The sequence below is a fragment of the Homo sapiens genome, chromosome 10 (genome assembly GCF_000001405.40).
Source record: "Homo sapiens chromosome 10, GRCh38.p14 Primary Assembly".
NCBI classification, from domain to species: domain Eukaryota; kingdom Metazoa; phylum Chordata; class Mammalia; order Primates; family Hominidae; genus Homo; species Homo sapiens.
In genome coordinates, this window is record NC_000010.11 from 73005435 (window position 1) to 73022868 (window position 17434).

At 39.3% G+C, this 17434-nt stretch overlaps 1 protein-coding gene and 1 pseudogene across 4 annotated transcripts in view, besides 1 other annotated feature; both read right to left on the reverse strand.

The window, feature by feature from the left end:
* RPL17P50 (ribosomal protein L17 pseudogene 50) lies at positions 359-1179 on the reverse strand (annotated as a pseudogene).
* The window catches only part of P4HA1 (prolyl 4-hydroxylase subunit alpha 1), an 89650-nt gene continuing 73998 nt past the window's right edge, over positions 1783-17434 (reverse strand). For 3 of the 4 annotated variants that reach the window (NM_000917.4, NM_001017962.3, NM_001142595.2), the window contains 5 exons: positions 11412-11465; positions 8790-8855; positions 5535-5603; positions 4373-4469; positions 1783-2858 (listed from right to left, as the gene is read on the reverse strand). In NM_000917.4, coding sequence (NP_000908.2) covers positions 2788-2858; positions 4373-4469; positions 5535-5603; positions 8790-8855; positions 11412-11465 — 357 coding nt within the window. In that variant the 3' untranslated portion in view covers positions 1783-2787. The remainder of the gene's footprint in view (positions 2859-4372; positions 4470-5534; positions 5604-8789; positions 8856-11411; positions 11466-17434) is intronic. The other variant, NM_001142596.2, reaches the window with a different exon arrangement.
* Positions 12885-13444: an enhancer, noted in NCBI's record as "H3K27ac-H3K4me1 hESC enhancer chr10:74778077-74778636 (GRCh37/hg19 assembly coordinates)". NCBI's record gives its function as "activates a minimal SCP1, AML or CMV promoter by ChIP-STARR-seq in naive H9 embryonic stem cells {active_cell/tissue: H9 hESC(naive)}" and the evidence as "EXISTENCE:reporter gene assay evidence [ECO:0000049][PMID:30033119]".

Below are 17434 nucleotides of genomic sequence, written 5' to 3' on the forward strand. Positions count from 1 at the left end.
CTACATTTTTGAATTTTCTGCTTCCATCCACTTTACTAAAAAATTTTTTTAAAAATCATCAATGGTCACAAAATCTGAGTGGATCAAAGTGCTGAACTTAATTCTCCATATTTCTAAAACACTTATATTGGAACAAAGGCTAGTCAGAAGAAAGGAGCTTCAGAGTTCACTTAAAAGTGGGTAAAAATACCTACTTTCCCAGAGAATCAAACCAAATTCTTCCTTCAGTATTTAAATACTGCATAAAGTATAAAGAACTCTTGTGTGAACTAGGATTCACCATAAGTAATGTAAATAGTCTAAAGCATCAATTAACTTACTTCATTAAGCTCACAGCTATTACCACACCATATTTCTTTTTTTTTCCTTTTAATTACATTTATTTTAATGCTGAATTTATTCCCGTGCCATAAGTTTTTGTTTCTTCAGTTTCTTCTGGGATATCTTTTTCTTCTGGGCAACCTCCTCTTCTGGTTTAGGAACAATCTGTTCCTTTTCAGTAAAGATCATCTCAATGTGGCAGGAAGAGCTCATGTATGGGTTAATCCATGAGCTCTGTAAGTCCGTTGGTGCATCTTAGGTGCTTTGTTCACTTGGATATGCTCAATGACCAGAGAATCTACCCTTAAGTTCAGCATTACTCTCTGTGTTTTTAAGCACGTGCAGCAAAAATTCAGCACTCTTTTTGGGCCACCGACCTTGTGGCCCAAACAGGCTAAGTGGTGAGCATTTTAGTTAAGAAGGCCCAGTGTTGTTATGCAGGACTTTGTTAAAAAAAAAAAAAAAAAAAAAAAAAAAAAACCGAAATATTTTAACTCAAGTAGGTTTAATTCACCACAGAAGAGCTAAGAGAAAAGAGGGGGTTGGTAAAATACAGTATACTTTCTTTAAAAAGGACTTGGGAGGAAAAAAATCAACTTAGAAGATCCAGCCCCACTGCTTTGCCTGCGCACACCTGCCAACTCCACCATTGTAATGTCGGAATGGTATGCACTGTTTCTGTAAAGTGACATCTTTCAGATACTTCGTGCCTTTTTGTATATACATACCCTTGATGGCCTGAGCAGTTTCACGAGTGTTCTTAAAGTGAACACGAAGATTGGAACCTCTTGATTTGCATGATTTTGTGGGGTTCTCCGGGTCAAGTGAATAGCGAACCATTTTCAGATTACCTCAGGCCACTTAGGAAAGAGCATCATATTTCTTAATAGGAGAAAGTCTTAAGTACCACTATTGTAATAATTTTTTTCTTTTTTGAGACAGAGTCACTCTGTCACTCAAGCTAGAGTGCAGTGGTGCAATCTCAGCTCACTGCAACCTCTGCCTCCCAGGTTCAAGCGATTTTCCTGCCTCAGCCTCCCAAGTAGCTGGGACTACAGGCATGCACCACCACACCCGGCTAATTTTGGTAATTTTAGTAGGGATGGGGTTTCACCATGTTGGCCAGGCTGGTCTCGAACTCCTAGCCTCAGGTGATCCGCCTGCCTCGGCCTCCCAAAGTGCTGGGATTGAAGGCGTGAGCCACCATGCCTGGCCCATAATAACTTCATAACCACAGTAAAGTATTTTAGAGCTCTCTTTGAAGGAAGCACATCTTGATTCATGAAATATCTGAAACTTCAGAGAGCCTAAGTTTTTCTTAACCATGTGACATTAGTGTGAGTGGAAACCAAGAGTATAAACCTAAGCCCTATGTACTAAAGAAATTACATAAGTTAACCTGTTACTGCCACATCATACATTCGGATTTAAATACGAAAAACACCACACAGAAAACAAACATTTTTTTAAAAAAGATTTAAGATCATAAATAGGTCATTGTTGTCACAACACATTTCAGAATCTTAAAAAAACAAACATTTTGGCTTTCTAAGAAAAAGACTTTTAAAAAAAATCAATTCCCTCATCACTGAAAGGACTTGTACATTTTTAAACTTCCAGTCTCCTAAGGCACAGTATTTAATCAGAATGCCAATATTACCACCCTGCTGTAGCAGGAATAAGAGGCAAGGTATTAGCACTAAGAAAAACAGCAAAATTCCTGAACAAAATCATCTGTCATTTTAAAAAAGGGATAAAAAAACAGGCTAAGTGGTGAGCATTTTAGTTAAGAAGGCCCAGTGTTGTTATGCAGGACTTTCCATTAAAAAAAAAAAAAAAATCGAAATATTTTAACTCAAGTACGTTTAATTCACCACAGAGGAGCTAAAAGAAAAGAGAGGGGGTTGGTAAAATACAGTATACTTTCTTTAAAAAAGACTTGGGAGGAAAAAAATCAACTTAGAAGATCATATGAAAGGGCAATCACATGGAACCCAGTTAGTGTCCTAGTTTATTACTAGTCTTCAGATCCAGAAAACAGAGTAAGACACTAGGTAAACAGAACACCTAGGCACATCTGTAAGGCATTTGTTTCCTATCACACAGCCCATTCTAGCTTAACACCCACCAACTGAGATGTAGTGAAATACTAAAACTGGATGCTCAAATTATGTTTTTATCCAACCAAAAAGTTCTTTAAATATAAAATTCCTCACTTTAAACTCTGCCTTGTCTTCTGTGATACCAACAGAACTTTAAGGTTTTATGCAATATGATGATTTCGTGTTACTTTTAAAAGAACCCACAAAGTAAGCAATTGTCCACAGATGAAACATGGGATGAGGTTCATGACTGAATCAATCATGGAGTGTTAGTCAATTGTAAACTCCTGAAAGTTAAGACTAGGAAATGTGTATATCAGACACATAAGAGTACAACAATAGGAGAAAAAGGGAAGCCTGTTTGTCATTCCAATTCTGACAACGTACAAGGTCTTCGAAATTCTTGTCCACGTTCATGGAGCCATTTATTGGATACTGTGAGAGAAAAGTAATATATTAATTTTCCCCCTTAATCTAATCAGTATTTAATTAGTTTCTAAAAGCTAGGTCTATAACAAAGTTTCATCATGGGATAAAAGTTCAACACCAAAACCGGATAAAGGCAGATGCTACTTAAAAACTTGGCTAAATGCTGAAAACACAGATTTTATATACCTATATACATATGTGTACACACTTGTGTGCGTGTATGTACATACATGTATGTATACACATGTATATTTGCCAGTCTATGTGCATTTCTTACAGTTTCCAATGTTCAATGTGAGGCTTGAAATGAGACACAAATGGACCTAAGATACAGGTACAGGTAAGAGTAGAATATTGCTTTATGTATTGTTTTCAAAGTACAGCCTCCAAAATACAAAGACAATAATGAACACAAACTTTGCACTCTAAAGGAACAACTCTCTTATCAACCATTGCTATTGTATGCTCATCAAGTTTCCAAAATACCTTTAAAAAATGTATACCATGTAAAAATGTATCCCAAAAGCAGTTAATTTTCTATTTTTTTTTTGTCTCTGGTACCATAGAACCCAGTCAAAATATCTAAAGCAGGAACCTTAATTCTTAACTCTTTTTCCTTCTTCAACCCTTGTATCTACACTTTATTCATCAAACCCTGACAATTTTCCTTACATCTCTCTCAAATCTATTTGCTCTCCAACCCTTTCACTGATGCTTTAATCCAGGCCATTATCATCTCCCACTTAGACAACAGAAAACAGCTTTCTAAACTCTCTCTCACCAACTAGCCTCTCCTCATTCTAGTCCAGTGGTTCTTAAACACTATAATCATAAGGGGAGATTTTAAAATCCTGATCAGGCCTCACTCCTTAACCTTGTAATGTCCTGTATGTAACCACTCAACATGTGGCTAGTAACACAGATTGAAATGGATACATGGGGCTAATTAATAGATATTAAAACTAATTTTACCTGTTTCTTTTTACTTTTTAAAAATGTGGTCCTGCACTTGCATGTCCCTGACTGAGAGTGAGTGCCTCTTTAAATTTTGCACATTAGGTGCTACTCGAGCCTCACATTAGAACCTGGTATCTAACATGTTTGGAAAACTGCTGTTCTATCTTCAGGACCAAATTTAAAGAAAAAGCTTTGAAGAAGACTCCCCAAACTTAGGCAGTCACCATCTTCTGTTTACATTTTTGTATTAATATGTACTACATTATAATCCATTAGTATGTCTCAATCAGATTATTAACCCTTTGAGGGGAAGATATTGTCTTATTCAATTTTGAGTCAGTCATTGTTTCTTGGAATAAGTAAAAATAGTTAAAAATAAAATCTGTCATCAAAATTCTGATTTCAAATTTGTATTATGATTAGGCACTTGTTTGGCTGAATCCTGTACAATGTTAAAATCATATTAAGCAAACATGGGGGCTTTTGTTTTTAAGACACAGATAATAGTTCCAAAATAAGAAACAAAAATTACATTATCTTCGCAGAATATATGAAATATTTACCCCATTTGTTGCCAACTAGCACTGGACAGGCTGCATGCCGTGTACTATAATCTCCTTCTCCACTGGCAAACAGATTATACCAGAAAACAGCAGTTCCCTATGGAGAACAATTCACAATTATCCCCAAGTATACAATGCCAGGTAATTGCTTTCGGTAGTTATTACTTTTTTTTTTTTTTTGAGACAGAGTCTTGCTCTATCGCCCAGGCTGGAGTGCAATGGCACGATCTCAGCTCACTGCAACCTCCACCTCCCAGGTTGAAGTGATTCTCCTGCCTCAGCGTCTCAAATAGCTGGGATTACAGGCGTGCAACACCAGGCCTGGCTAATTTTGTATTTTTAGTAGAGACGGGCTTTCACCATGTTGGTCAGGCTGGTCTCGAACTCCTAACCTCAGATGATCCGCCCATCTTGGCCTCCCAAAGTGCTGGGATTACAGACGTGAGCCACCGTGCCCGGCCGTTTTCAGCAGTAATTTTCCCTTTGTTCCTGCGGAAGAACTCTATAGCAGTATTTTATTTTCCTCTAATATAATTCTGAAAATATGGTTATATCACTTTAAGAACCGTTTTTGATCATATGAAAAATACCATAAAAATGTTTGACAACAAAAGTATTTGCCAAAAGAAAGCTAACATATCTTACATAGCAAGATGGAGGGGAAAACACAATGCAGAACCCATTTTAGAAATGAAAAATTTTAAATACTAATTCCTGGTCATTCATTACCTCTAAGTACTCGTGGCAAGGACCATAAAAATACCTTTAAAAATGTAATTTGGTCAGGCACAGGGGTTCATGCCTGTAATCCCAACATTTTGGGAAGCTGAGGTGGGAGGATCACTTGAGCCCAAGAGTTCAAGACCAGCCTGGGCAATACAGGGAGACACTGTCTCTACAAAAAATTTAAACATTAGCTGGGCATGGTGACATGCACCTGTAGTCCCCACTATTTGGGAGGCTGAGGCTTGAACCCAGGAGGTCAAAGCTGCAGTGAGCCATGTTTATACTGCTGGGCTCCAGCCTGGGCAACAGAGCGAGAACAGGTCTCAAAAAATGAAAAAGAAAAAAAAATGTAATTCATTAATTAGACCATGAATACAAGTGCATCTCTTCCTTAGGGAAAAAATTAATAAACCAAAAACAAAACAAACAGGCTTACTTTTTTGGGCCAAACACTAGCTCCAACTTCAGGAAAAACAGTGGCTCCTCCTGCAGACACATCACTCATCTATAAGAAACAAGAGGGTGTTATCAAAAGTGCTGGTAGAATAAAGTAAAACATGCCATTATATAGACTTGATATTGGATACTAGAATATTGGGAACATATGGACTTGTTCTTATATAGCATGGTTGGTACATGCTACTCAGTTTTTCAAAAATAAAATGCCATTTAGGTTTATATACATAAGTAAAAAAACTACAAAAAGCAAAGGAATGAATAACAAAAAACTATCAGGATGGAAGACTGGGGATATAATTTGAGATAGGAACTTATTTATAGCCAGAGGGAAAAAGTAATGACTTAAAACTAATGAGTCAATACACAGATATAAATATGTATTTTATTGTATTAGAATGTAATCTCCATGGAGGCAGGAATTTTCATCTGTTTTGTTCATTGCTGATCATTAATGTCTAGAACAATAGTACCTCAAGAACAGTAGGTGCTCAAGAAATATTTAAATAAATGTAAAATAAAAATACTCAGTTTTGCCATTTCTCATGGAAGGGAATCAAACATATTAAATAAAAGTGAGAAAGTTAAAGGATTATATAAAGTTATAGTCATAAAGATAACCTAGAATAAAAATGGAAACCTTTTAAATTAACCAAAGAATCACAAAAAACAAGGCAAAGGAAACATGGATCATAAAGATTTTTTTAAAGCAACATAAGTAGAATGTATAGACTGATTAGATCACAGAGCAAAACCCAGCTACATATTATATCAGAGCTGCATCTAAAACAAGTGACTTACAAACACAGAACACAAAAATGTAAGATTTTGGGCAAATGCTATCCAAGGAAAACAGGATATGATCTTAGTATGAGATACAGTTTAAATCAAGGTAAAAAGCATTAAATGAGATAGAAGGTATTTTACAATGATAAATACATAACTAATAGTAAAGAACTAAGAACACTTAACCAATGAAAAAATTAAACTCTGAGGAAATTAAAAAGTTGTGCATGAGAGGAAAAGTAATTTGAGATATTCTATGTGCCCCTCTGGGAATGGTATTTAAATAACGGAAAAAATGATAATCAATTAAAATGCTATACAACTATTTTAGAAAAACAGGAAGGGTGTTTACATTAAGAGGGAGAAACAGATAGTGGGCCAAATAATACAGCATCAATATTCATAAAACAAAGAAATATAAGCAGAACCAGGAACACATAAACACTAATGGCTTTTAAACATCTGAAAAGATGCTCAACCTCTCTAATAAGAGAAATGCAAATTAAAGCCACAATAACTGCTAATTTAATAAGTGAAATATACATAGATCAAAAAGTCTGACAAACATACTTCACAAACATATCCCACTTAAAATTGGGATATAAACTGGTACAACCTCTAAGACTCACCTCTAGAAAATATGCAAGCCTTTGCAGCATGAATTTGTATACCGTACTAACCCTCTCCTGGTTTTCCCTTTGTGGTATTTCTCTTTTTTTATATGAATCTTTGTAATGTACCTTACCTCCTTTTGGAAACAAGATGGAGTTGTGAGAGAAATACAAATTGGGAATTGGGGAGAAAAGGAGGCATACGGAGAGGAAGGAGATAGGGAAGAAGGGAAAGAAAACAAACAGGGAAGGTAGCAGGAAGAGAAAAAGGAAATAGACTGAACAGACAGATTTTGGTAGGGAGTGAGATACTACAGACAACAAAAAGATGTAATTCAAATAGGGCTAAGGAATGGAAAAAGTGATGAAATAACCAAAATTAAGTCTACATATAAAATATATATATTTTTTTTATTTTTATTTTTTGAGATGGAGCCACGCTCCGTTATCCAGGCTGGAGAGTGCAGTGGCGCGATCTCGGCTCACTGCAACCTCTGCCTCCCAGGTTCAAGTGATTCTCGTGCCTCAGCCTCCTGAGTAGCTGGTACTACAGGTGTGTGCCACCACACCCAGCTAATTTTTGTATTTATAGTGGAGAAGGGGTTTCACCACGTTGGCCAGGCTGGTCTCGAACTCCTGACCTCAAGTGATCTGCCCGCCTCGGCCTCTCAAAGTGTTGGGATTACAGGCGTGTGTCACTGTGCCTGGCCTAAAATATCTTTTTTAAGTTAACAAAGGTTATGACATTATGGCAGATTGCATTTTCCAAATATAATACATCCCAATATGTCCCATCCTACATGCTCTTTTTATGTGACGCTGACATTCGTCTGCAGTGGTAGGGTCTGTGTGCCCTCTCCTTGAAGCTGGGCAGACCTTTGTAATTGCTGTAACAGAATACAGCAAAATTAACATCTGTGACTTCTGAGGGTAGGTCATAACAATACCATGTACTTTTGCATTGTTCTTTTGGGATGCTTCCTCTTGCAATCCAGTCACTATGCTGTGAAGAAGCTCAGCCACATGTATTGGCCAGACTTTAGGCATTCTGGCTGACAGCCAGCCTCAACCTTAGCCTTCAAGATACCCCAGTGCCAGGCATTTGACGGCAAATACATGTCAGATTTGGAGCAGGAACCATGAGTTGAGCCCAGTCAACCTCATAACTGTTAGAGATACATTAAGAAAATCGTTGTTATTTTAAACCACTCAGAAAGGAGAGTTTTGGAGTGCTTTATTTGGGGTAACTAGAACAAACACTACAATCAAAACTTTTTTCCATATATAAAAATATATAAACAATTTTAAAAATTGAATTATGATCATACTGTTTTAAAACTCTGAGATAGGGTTTCTGGGGGTTGTAATATGCTATTTCTTCATCTTAGTACTGAATACACCAGAAGTGTTCACTTTGTGAAAATTAAGTTATAATACTTAATTTGCGCACTCTTCTGATATACTTCAATAAAAAAATGTAATTCAGAAGTTTACTGAAATAATGTGTATGTGTATGTATAGAAATTCAAATATATAGAGATTTTTATATACACATATTATATATTACTAAACAGAGAGACTATATGTTAAAATATTAATGATTATCTGCAGGTAGTGGCACTATAAATTCTAAGTTTGTCCAGAAGTTTCTATAATGAACATCTATCTTATAGCCTGAAAAAGTTGCAAGTGCAAAATAATTCTTAACTCACTTTATTCAGTTGTAAAAATGTTAAACTAGGATGCTGAATCAGAGCTACACAGAACAAACTTAAAACATTAAAATGAATCTTGTCATCAAATCCCAACTTAATCTAAAAATTTTAGTGACGACTTACATAAAACAGCCATGTAGCAATTCTATTTCCTGTCCCCAGCTCTTTGAAAGCATCTGGCTCATCTTTCTGTGAATAAAAACACAGTAAATTCAATGGTGTAAAAATTCAGTAATACAAATACTCTAGTGGCAACTAAACATCAGTAGTAATATCCTGAAGAATATGCCAACAACAACCGCAAAAGTTTCCCTTGTAATGTCCAGTGCACTATAAACATCAGGCAATCTTTTTGTAAGATGGAGTCTTGCTATGTGGACCAGGGTGATCTTGAACTCCTGGCCTCAAGCGATCCTCCTGCCTTAGCCTCCCAAAATGCTAGGATCACAGGTGTGAGCCACTGTACCTGGCCTCAAATACGTGATGACTGAACTTGTATACTGGATACTTTAGACAAGATTACTGGATAAAAAGCAGACTTATTAGCCTAAACGACAGCCATTATCTGCAAGCTACATATTATTTTAAAAACAAATACCCACAATTTTAGCTTCTAAAAAATATGACTTGACAGCCATCTCTTAGCTATACTCCTGAAGCTTAATTTACCTTGAGACTTACTTTGAACTCACGACCTACTGAAATATTTCCTAGTATTATTTTCTTTTTTCTTTTTTTTTTTTTTTGAGACAGAGTCTTGCCCTGTCGCCCAGGCTGGAGTGCAGTGCCATGATCTCAGCTCATTGCAACCTCCACCTCCCGGGTTTAAGCAATTCTTCTGCCTCAGCCTCCCAAGTGGCTGGGGCTACAGGCGTGTACCACCATGCCTGGCTAATTTTTTTGTATTTTTAGTAGAGATGGAGTTTCACCATGTTGGCCAGACTGGTCTTGAACTCCTGACCTCAAGTGATCCACCCACCTTGGCCTCCCAAAGTGCTGGGATTACAGGCATGAGCCACCACGCCTGGCCCCTAGTATTATTTTTCTAATAATGCTAGTAAAGTGACTTTCAGCACTATAATCAAGCTAAAGAATTAATATCTAAATATTTATATCTAAATTAAAATACAATACAACCTCTTGGCATTTCTCCCAGAAAAATGAAAATGCATTTTTCACATAGAAATGTAAACACATCTTTATTTGTAATAGCCAAAAACTAAAAACTATCCAAATGTCCTTCGATGGGTGAATGGCTAAACTGTGGTATATCCGTAACATGGAATACAGGTTGAGCATACCAAAAGTCCAAAATGCAAAATGCTCTGAAGTTCAAAACTTTTAGTGCTAACATGACACAAGTGGAAAATTCCATACATAGTACTCCCTGAAGTAGCTCCCCTATCATACACACTATGCCCCAGCCAGGATGGAAACAGACAGTTCCCCATAAGGCTCCTGTATCACAAGAGATTTATTTTCAAACCCATTCTTTCTTTACTGAAGGTGTAATCCTTGTGGAGATTTAGAGTTTATGCCAGGGTCTCAAATTCAGCAGCCTACACTGTGGCAGATCCTCCTCTTACAGAGCTGTTATTCCCAAAGCTCTAGTTCCTGGAGGCACATACCTCCAGCCTCTGTGTTTTGTCCCCTCTTTAATTCTCTAAGTTTGGGATCATTGTTCAGTTTGCCTTTTGGAACACCCTTTACTTTCTTCCAGGCTTGCCAATGCATTTAAAGTATCTTAAGTGATTTTATTGGGTATCTAGGTGTTTGGTTTTTTTTTTTTAACTGGTAAAAAGGTTTCACAGAATATCTGCCACACCGTATTTCCATAAATTCCAAATAGGCTATGAATTTTTAATGTTAAAATAACAGAATTAACATGTTGACAAAGAATCTCTCCTTGACCCAACTACTCAGGCTCCTCTGAACTTTCTTCTCAAGTAGGCCCTGACTTTGGGCTTCTGGTATTTACCTCTGCATTGTCCAATTTAAGCAAGAACCCTGCTAAGTCAGGTTAGCCAGAATTCCCCGTCCTTGCCATGTGATCACCCTCAAAACCTAACTGGGTTCTTCATCTTCCACTATCCCCTGGATGATGATCACTCTTCCCTGACTTCAGCAAGAATCCTGTTAGGTCAGTTTAGCCAGAATCTTCCCTTACCTCTTAGTAATTTTCCATCTACTAACACCCACCCTTGCTCATTGGCTATAAATTCCCACTTTTCCTTGTTGTATTTGGAATTGGGCTTAACCTCTCTCCCTTACTGCAAAATCCCACTGCATTTGCAGTGGTCCCTATACCTATCGCAATGGTCCCCCCTTGAATGAAGTCTGCCTTACCATCTTTAACAAGTGTCAAGAATAACTTTTTCTTTAACAATGTAATGCGGCCGGGCACAGTGGCTCACGCCTGTAATCCCAGCACTCTGGGAGGCTGAGGTGGGTGGATCACCTGAGGTCAGAAGTTCAAGACCAGCCTGGCCAAAATGGCGAAACCCTGTCGCTACTAAAAATACAAAAATTAGCTGGGCATGGTGGCGCATGCCTGTGATCCCAGCTACTCGGGAGGCTGAGGTAGGAGAATTGCTCCAACCCAGGAGGCAGAGGTTGCAGTGAGCCAAGATCGTGCTACTGCACTCCAGCCTGGGTGACAGAGTGAGACTGTTTTTTTGTTTTGTTTTGAGACAAACAATGTAATGCATAAGCCTCAGTGAATTTCTCCATTTCTTTTTCACTTACCCGTGCAAAGTCAAAATGGGGTTCATACTGTCCTCCAACTCCATAATTTGCTACCTGAAGGAAAGACACAAAGCATGAAAGAAAAGAACTATAAAGATTACTATTCAAAAAAAATCTATGAACCTCATTTTTTGGACTTTTATAGATCATGGTCAGGTATTTACAGAGAAATGAAAAATATTTAAAATCAACAAGAGTTCCTATGAAAACAGGGATGAAAAACAAAGGACAGCTACTATATATCTATGTACAGATCTATATCTACAGATGTATATATAGATATCTATATCTACAGATGTATATATAGATATCTATATCTACAGATGTATATATAGATATCTATATCTACAGATGTATATATAGATATCTATATCTACAGATGTATATATAGATATCTATATCTACAGATGTATATATAGATATCTATATCTCTATACAGATCTACATATATAGATATCTATATATATAGATCTATATCTACATATGTACCCCTCCCCACCCCCCACCAGAGACAGGCTGGAGTGCAGTGATGCAATCAGAGCACACTGCAGCCTCAACCTTTGGGGCACAAGTGATCCTCCCACTTCAGCCTCCTGAGTAGCTGGGACTACAGGTGCATGCTACCACACCCAGCTAATTTTTAAAAATTTAATACATAAGCTAAAATTTGAGATTTCTATTATTTTGTTTCACTAAACACTTTCCTTTGGAACTTAAATCAAAAAATGTTTTCCAAAGCCCCAAATGCTGAACTCGCAATCCACTTTAATAAAATATCTTTTCTTACATATTTTTTCCCTGCTAAAAAAGGAAAGAAATTAACACCAATTTAATTATTCCTGTCGAAGGGCCCTAACAACTTCAGTTGCTTACGACAATGTCCCAGTGTGACGCACCAAAATTTAAGAAAAATATTTGGTCTGAGTTCAAGTTCCAGCTCTCTTAATTACAATGTAACTTTGGATATCATCTCAGTTTTCTTATTTGTTAAAGTGAAGAGAATGATACTTAACTCTTTCCCTCAATCACACAACACAATAAAATGCTGACAAAATCAAAGGAGAACATAATTAAGAGTGCTGCTGATGAAACCAGAAGGAGAATACTGGTGGAACTGGAACTGCTGGAGTGTGTCTTGCTCTGGGGCCAGTAGCCACAGCACCCCTTCATCCCTGAAGCTAAGCCAGGAATGAAGGCCTACTTGAAGGCCTGACATTCCCAAGCAGAGCTGCCAGCAGCTGTTACACCCTTCCTGGTGGGGTCAAGAGAGGTGGAACTGCTCTACCCACCCCTCCCCCAACTCCCTGAGGCAGGAGCTGCAGCCATGTACTCCCTCCCAAGAAAATAGTACTTTGGCAGAACCCTGCATCCCATGAGATGTCTGGGCCACCCAGAACAGTCACGTCCCCTGAGCCTGAGCTGAAACAGCACATCACCCTTGGGGAATTGTTGCACTGGCCAAGCTGAGCAGCTGCACATCCCAGGGCTGAAGTAGTACCCAGAGACCCAGGGAAACAGAGCAGTGGCTAAGCTGAGAAATGTGCCCTGCAGGGCAAATAACTCTAGTACCCTGCTTCCCTGGAGAGTCTGCGCTGCTGAGACACTTCTCTTTCTAGGGAGTGAAGTCATTGCTGTGCTGCTCTCTGCCCCACAGGGCCCAAACAACAGGCATGCTTGGCCATTCAGGGGTGCCTGTTCCTGCTGTACCTGGCCTCAGAGTCTGGGATCCATCTGAGCTCCACCAATCCAGGTTCTAGAGTGACTACTAGAACCTGGTGCCTCATCCAGGGCACCTCATCATGGTGCCTCATCCCCAGGGATAGGAGTTGCCACTAAGCCCTATTGGCTCAGGCTCCTAATAGAGCCAAACCCTGCATCCCAGACTCAAACCTCCAGAGCATCCTCTCTTCCCTGGAGTTGGGCCAGGGCTGTGCCCTGTCCACCAGGGGTAGACTCACAGCTACAACCTGACACTCTTTTCCCAAGCAGCTAGAGGGTGCCTCAGAGTCACAGATCCTGGCACTATAGGCAACCTACATCCAACCCTGCCAATAGTGACCCTGTACCCTAACACCCAGGTGTTACAATAGTATGCAAGACCCTGAGCCCAGGATCCTAGCCCCATAGCCACTCCAAACGCTTGCACCTGGATTGCAGCACCATGGCAGCTGCTTGTAGGATATGTAAGACCTGCCACCAAGAAGACTCCCACTGGCTAAAACTCCCTATTGTGGGGAAAACAAGAATGGAAGGATTCCAAAAGCTCTTGCCACTGAAGATATTAACAATCTACTCCACAGCTACCACCACTGCAAACTTCTCCAGCCTAGGCTGTTGAGGCACCCACAGTTATTCTGACAATGAATGCAGCTGAATAGGCTATAAGAGACTACAGTACTGAACCTACCTGGAAACAGAGTCACCACACCCTTCCCAAACAGCCCAACAGAAGCGGAAAGTTTAAAAGAGCCAATTGTTCCACTAGATGCACAGACATCAATGCAGGAAACAAGAAACATTAAAAAGCAATGAAATATGACACTGCTGAGAATGTAACTCTCTAGTTACAGGCCCAAATGTAAAGGAAATCAACACCTAGCTAGAAAAAAATTCAAATAATGATCTTAAGGAAACTCAAACAGATAAAAGAAAATACAGATAGATAATTCAATGAAATCAGGAAAACAATTCATGATATGAATCAGAATTTCAACAAAGAAAGATATCATAAAAAAGAACCAAACAAAACACTTGCAGCTGAAGAATTCAATGAATGCAGGAGGCTGAGGCAGGAGAATCGCTTGAACCTGGGAGGCGGAGGTTGCAGTGAGCCAAGATCTTGCCACTGCACTCCAGCGTGGCGACAGAGCGAGACTCTGTCTCAGAAAAAAAAAAAAAAAAAGAATTCAATGAATGAAATTAAAAATACAATACAAAGCTGCACCAGCACACTTGATTAAGCAAAACAATCTCTGAACCTGAAGATACATTATTTAATATTACTCAGAGGGGAAAAAAAAAGGAAACAATAATGAAAAAGGATAAAGAGAGCCTACAAGACTTCTGGGACACCATTAAACATTTGTATTACAGGAGTTCCAAAAGGAGAAGAAAGGTAAAAGGCACAGAAAACCTATTTAATAATAGCTGAAAACTACCCAAGTCTGGGGAAGAGATAAGGGTATCCAACTCCAGGAAGTTCAAAAGTCCCCAAATAGATTCAACCAAAAAAAGTCCCCTCTGAAGCACATTTCAGTCAGATTGTCAAACATCAAAGACAAATAAAGAATTCTAGAAACAGCAAGATAGCTAGATTAACAAAGAAAAAAGATCCAAATAAGCACAATCAGAAATAACAAAGGTGACATTACAACTGACCCCAAAGAAATATAAAAAGTCCTCAGAGATTATTATGAACACCTCTATGCACACAAACTTTTATAAAAAACCTAGAAGAAATGGATAAATTCCTGGAAACACACAACCTCCCAAGACTGAAACAGAAAAAAACTGAAACCCTGAACAGACCAATAAGGAATTCTGAAATTGAAATTCAATTTTAATTAAAAACAAAAAAACAAAAAAACAACCTACTAACCAAAAAAAGCTCTGGACTGGATGGATTCACAGCTGAATTTTACCAGACATACAAAGAGCTAGTATCAATCCTACTGAAATTATTCCAAAAGATTGAGAACGAATCTTTCCTTAACTCATTTTATGAAGCCAGCATCATCATTCTGATACCAAAACTCATCACAGACATAATGAAAAAAGAAAACTTCAGGCTGATATTCCTGATGAACACAGACACAAAATACTCAAAAAAATACTAGAAAACAAAACCTAGCAGCACATCAAAAAGTTAATTTACTATAATCAATTAGGCTTTATTTGTGGGGTGCAAGGTTGGTTCAATAAATGTAATTCACCACATAAACAGAATTAAAAACCATATGATCATCTCTGCAAATGCAGAAAAAGCTTTCAAAAAAATTCAGCATCCTGGCCAGGCACAGTGGCTCACACCTGTAATTCCAGCACTTTGGGAGGCCAAAGTGGATGGATCACCTGAGGTCAGGAGTACGAGACCAGCCTGGCCAACATGGTAAAACCCTGTCTCTACTAAAAATATAAAAATTAGCTGGGCATGGTGGCAGGGGCCTGTAATCCCAGTTACACAGGAGGCTGAGGCAGGAGAACTGCATTAACCCAGGAGGTGGAGGTTGCAGTGAGCCAAGATCACACCACTGCACTCCAGCCTGGGCAAGAGAGTAAGACTACATCTCAAGAAAAAACAAACAAAAAAACCCAAAAATAACAGACACTGGCAAGGATGAAGAGAAAGGGGCATGCTCATACACTGCTGGTGGGAATGTAAATTAGTACAATCACTATGGAGAACAGTACAGAGGTTCCCTTAAAAACTAAAAATAGATCTACCATATGATCCAGCAATCCCAGTGCCAAGTATATATCCAAAAGAAAGGAAATTAGCATGATGAAGAGATATCCGCATTCCCATGTTTATTGCAGGACTATTCACAACAGCTAACATATGGAATCAACCTAAGTGTCCATCAACAGATGAATGGATAAAGAAAATGTGGTGCTTATATATAATGAAACACTATTCAGCCATAAGAAGAATGTAATCTTATCACATGGATGGAACTGGAGTTCATTATATTAGTAAAATAAGCCCAGCATAGACAAATATCACATGTTCTCACTCACATGTGGGATTTCTGCATTTCCAACTGAGGTACCTGGTTCATCTCATTGGGACTGGTTGGACAGTGGGTGCAGACCATAGAGAATGAGCCAAAGCAGGGCGGGGCATCGCCTCACCCAGGAAGCACAAGGAGTCAGGGAATTTCCCTTTCCTAGCAAAGGGAAGCCATGACAGACTGTACCTGGAAAAACCGGACAATCCTGCCCACATACTGCGCTTTTCCCACAGTCTTAGCAACTGGCAGACCAGGAGATTCTTTCCTGTGCCTGGCTCAGTGGGTCCCATGCCCATGGAGCCTTGCTCACTGCTAGTGCAGCAGTCTGAGATGGACCTGAGAGGTTGCAGCCTGGCTGGAGGAGGGGTGTCCACCATTGCTGAGGCTTGATTAGGTAAACAAAATGGCCAGAAAGCTCAAACTGGGCGGAGCCCACCACAGCTCAGCAAGGCCTACTGCCTCTGTAGACTCCACCTCTGTGGGCAGGGCATAGCTGAACAAAAGCCAGCAGACAACTTCTGCAGACTTAAACGTCCCTGTCTGACAGCTCTGAAGAGAGCAGTGGTTCTCCCAGGATGGCATTTGAGCTCTGAGAACCAAAGACTGCCTCCTCAAGAGGGTCCCTGACCCCCGTGTAGCCTAACTGGGGGAAACCTCCCAGTAGGGGCCGACAGACACCTCATACAGGCGGGTGCCCCTCTGGGATGAAGCTTCCAGAGGAAGGATCAGGCAGCAATATTTGCTGTTCTGCATCCTCTGCTGGTGATACCCAGGCAAACAGCGTCTGGAATGGACCTCCAGCAAACTCCAACAGACCTGCAGCTGAGGGACCTGACTGTTAGAAGGAAAACTAACAGAAAGGAATAGCATCAACATCAACAAAAAGGTCATCTACACCAAAACCCCATCTGTAGGTCACCAACATCGAAGGCCAAAGGTAGACAAAACCACAAAGATGGGGAGAAACCAGAGCAGAAAAGCTGAAACTTCTAAAGATCAGAGCACCTCCTCTCCTCCAAAGGACTGCAGCTCCTCACAAGCAACAGAACAAAGCTGGACAGAGAATGACTTTGATGAGCTGACAGAAGTAGGCTTCAGAAGGTCGGTAATAACAAACCTCCCAGCTAAAGAAGCATGTTCTAAGCCATCGCAAGGAAGCTAAAACCCTTGAAAAAAGGTTAGACGAATGGCTAACTAGAACAAACAGTGTAGAGAAGACCTTGAATGACCTGATGGAGCTGAAAACCATGGCATAAGAACGTCATGGTGCATGCACAAGCTTCGGTAGCCGAT